The sequence below is a fragment of the Homo sapiens genome, chromosome 12 (assembly GCF_000001405.40).
Source record: "Homo sapiens chromosome 12, GRCh38.p14 Primary Assembly".
In the NCBI taxonomy this organism is placed as follows: Eukaryota; Metazoa; Chordata; class Mammalia; order Primates; family Hominidae; genus Homo; species Homo sapiens.
In genome coordinates this window covers 72872007-72874382 of record NC_000012.12, presented here as the reverse complement: position 1 = coordinate 72874382, position 2376 = coordinate 72872007, and the positions used below count along the sequence as shown (strand labels likewise).

Sequence of the window (2376 nt, the reverse complement as noted above, 5' to 3'; positions counted from 1 at the left end):
GCCAAATGTGGCATATGCATACCATAAAATATTATTCAACCTTAGAAAAAAGTATAATTATGACATATTCTACATGGATTAATTTTGAGGACATTATACTAAGTGAAATAAGCCGGTTTCCAAAAAGACAAATACTATATGATTTCCCTTATATGAGATCCTAGAGTAGTCCAAATCACAGAGACAGAAAGTATAATGATGATTGCCAAGAGAAGGAGGAAATGGGGAGTTACTGTTTAATGTATATGGAGTTTCCGTTTTATTATGAAAATAATTATAAAGATGTATGGAGGTGATGGTTGTAAAACAGTATGAATTATTTAATATGACTGAACTTTACACTTAAGATGATTAAGAGGGTAAATGCTACATTATGTGCATTTCACCACAATAAAATAAATTGAAAAAAAAAAAAAATTCAGTACCTTGAGCCAGTATCAGTCTGAGCTGACTGCCTGGGGAATGTACTTGTAAATTTTTCTGTGTTCATGGCTAGTTGACTATTGTCAAATATAGTTTTCAGAAGAAACAAAACATATTTCAAATTTAAAATACATGCTCAGTGTTACATATAAGTGAATTAATATTCTGCCATTAATTGTTCCATAAAAATACTCCGAACTTTGTGGTATAAAACGGCAACTGTTGACTAGAAAATCAGGTAAGACACTATGGAAACAGCTTTTCTCTGCTCCATGAAGTCTGGGACCAAGACAGAAACCGAAGCTCTACTTGGACAACACTGATCTCAGGGTAAAGGAAAAAGAGTAAGAGAGGTGATAAAGGTATGTTTTGGTTCATAAATCTGTTCAGTGTTGCTCACATGCCATTAATGTGGAAGGAATATATGATCCTCCCACTGGAAGCATTGCAAATCACAAGGTAATGGGTAGGAATGCACAGTCATTTTGGAGGGTTGGAAGAAGTGGCAGTAATAGATTCTATCTCTTGCTACCGTTGCAGAATTTTCTCCTTAGTTTGGCTAAAACCAGTCTCTTGTCATACGACCAGGAAAGATAAGGCTCGCGGACATAAAGAAGGGTGAGGAAAATGGAATTTACTGGGTGAAAAGGATAATGGAAAAATAACTCTCAGCAAAGCAAGAGAGAGTCCCGCTAGCATGTTTCCTGCCTCACAGATTGAATTCCAGGTCACCACCCAGGAACTGAAGAGGCCAGGCTCCTCCCCACTGCGAACCAGCGCAAACTTCCTGAAGCTCCACCCTGTCCTCCCAGTGCGCAGGTGGGCATTGCTCAGGGAGAATCAGTCAGGAAAGGGTGGGCTTCATCCAGAACCAGCAGTCCAGTTTTTCAGCCTTCAGGCTGTTGTAGACTTGAAGGCAGGGTTTCCCTGGAGACCCCTGGCTGTCTCCTGTCTCTGTCACTACGATTTGTAGTGATCTTTTCCAATCTCCAGATAGTTCTTAAGACCCTGTAGCTTTGGGAATCTACTGTTCTAGGCTTGAACTCTAAACAAACTACAAAAAAAAAAATTACAAATTATATTTTACAAAACATTTCTCTTGAGCCATCTCAATTTGCCTCTTAAATGATCTTCATAGATTTATGAGTATGCCTTTGCCAACAAAAACAATAACATGCAAATTGTAAATCTTTCAGAGTGGAAAACAAAGACTGATGACGATTCCTGCACTCACCTCCCGGATCAAACCGACAATTACCCAGCAGGTGTCCCAGAGCATTACAGCTTTTCAGAGGAACAACTTCTGTATATGCGTATGTGTTTAAGCAAATGTTTATTTGTCACCCTTTACCTTAATTACAGCTACTTATTTCCAAGTGGTTATTTCAACTGAAAGGCAGAAGGGCTGTAGGAATGAAGCATGTCAGACTCTCTGAAAGTGTGAGTAACAATGGAAATGCAAAGTATTCTTAGCATTGAATAATGACAATCTAATAAAAGCTACAAATGATGAGGTTGTCCGCAATACTGTTTGGTTATCATTAACAAATCACATTATCTTCCCCTTCTCTCTGTAGCAATCAGTCTCCTGAAGCAAACTACATGTAAATTCTTTTGACAGAAGGCAATTCCTTTTCTCTATTTCCTCCTTAACTCCATAATGAAATCCTAATGAATGCTAAAGATTTCTGTGAGTAGTACAATATTCATCTATTGTATTACTGACTGAAAAGAACTTGCTGCATATTCAGAGAGATATAAAGGACTTGATTTTCAAACAAATAGTTTTGATAGGCAGATTCAGGACAAATCTAAATTGTATTTAATTATGCTACTGTTGCAGTGCTCTTATAACAATTTTTCACATGTCAAGTTATTATCTTTAATATCTTTAAGAACTATTGTAATATGTAGAGCCTATTTCCTGATTAGCTACATCCATTTTAATACTAT

The 2376-nt window shown here is 37.0% G+C and overlaps 3 annotated features.

The window, feature by feature from the left end:
* Positions 649-1848: an enhancer, noted in NCBI's record as "BRD4-independent group 4 enhancer chr12:73266315-73267514 (GRCh37/hg19 assembly coordinates)". NCBI's record gives its function as "activates an origin of replication core promoter dependent on BRD2, P300/CBP, MED14 and CDK7 cofactors, and independent of BRD4, by STARR-seq in HCT116 cells {active_cell/tissue: HCT116}" and the evidence as "EXISTENCE:reporter gene assay evidence [ECO:0000049][PMID:35650434]".
* Positions 649-1936: a biological region, named in NCBI's record as "BRD4-independent group 4 enhancer GRCh37_chr12:73266315-73267514".
* Positions 1435-1936: an enhancer, noted in NCBI's record as "NANOG hESC enhancer chr12:73266227-73266728 (GRCh37/hg19 assembly coordinates)". NCBI's record gives its function as "activates a minimal SCP1, AML or CMV promoter by ChIP-STARR-seq in naive H9 embryonic stem cells {active_cell/tissue: H9 hESC(naive)}" and the evidence as "EXISTENCE:reporter gene assay evidence [ECO:0000049][PMID:30033119]".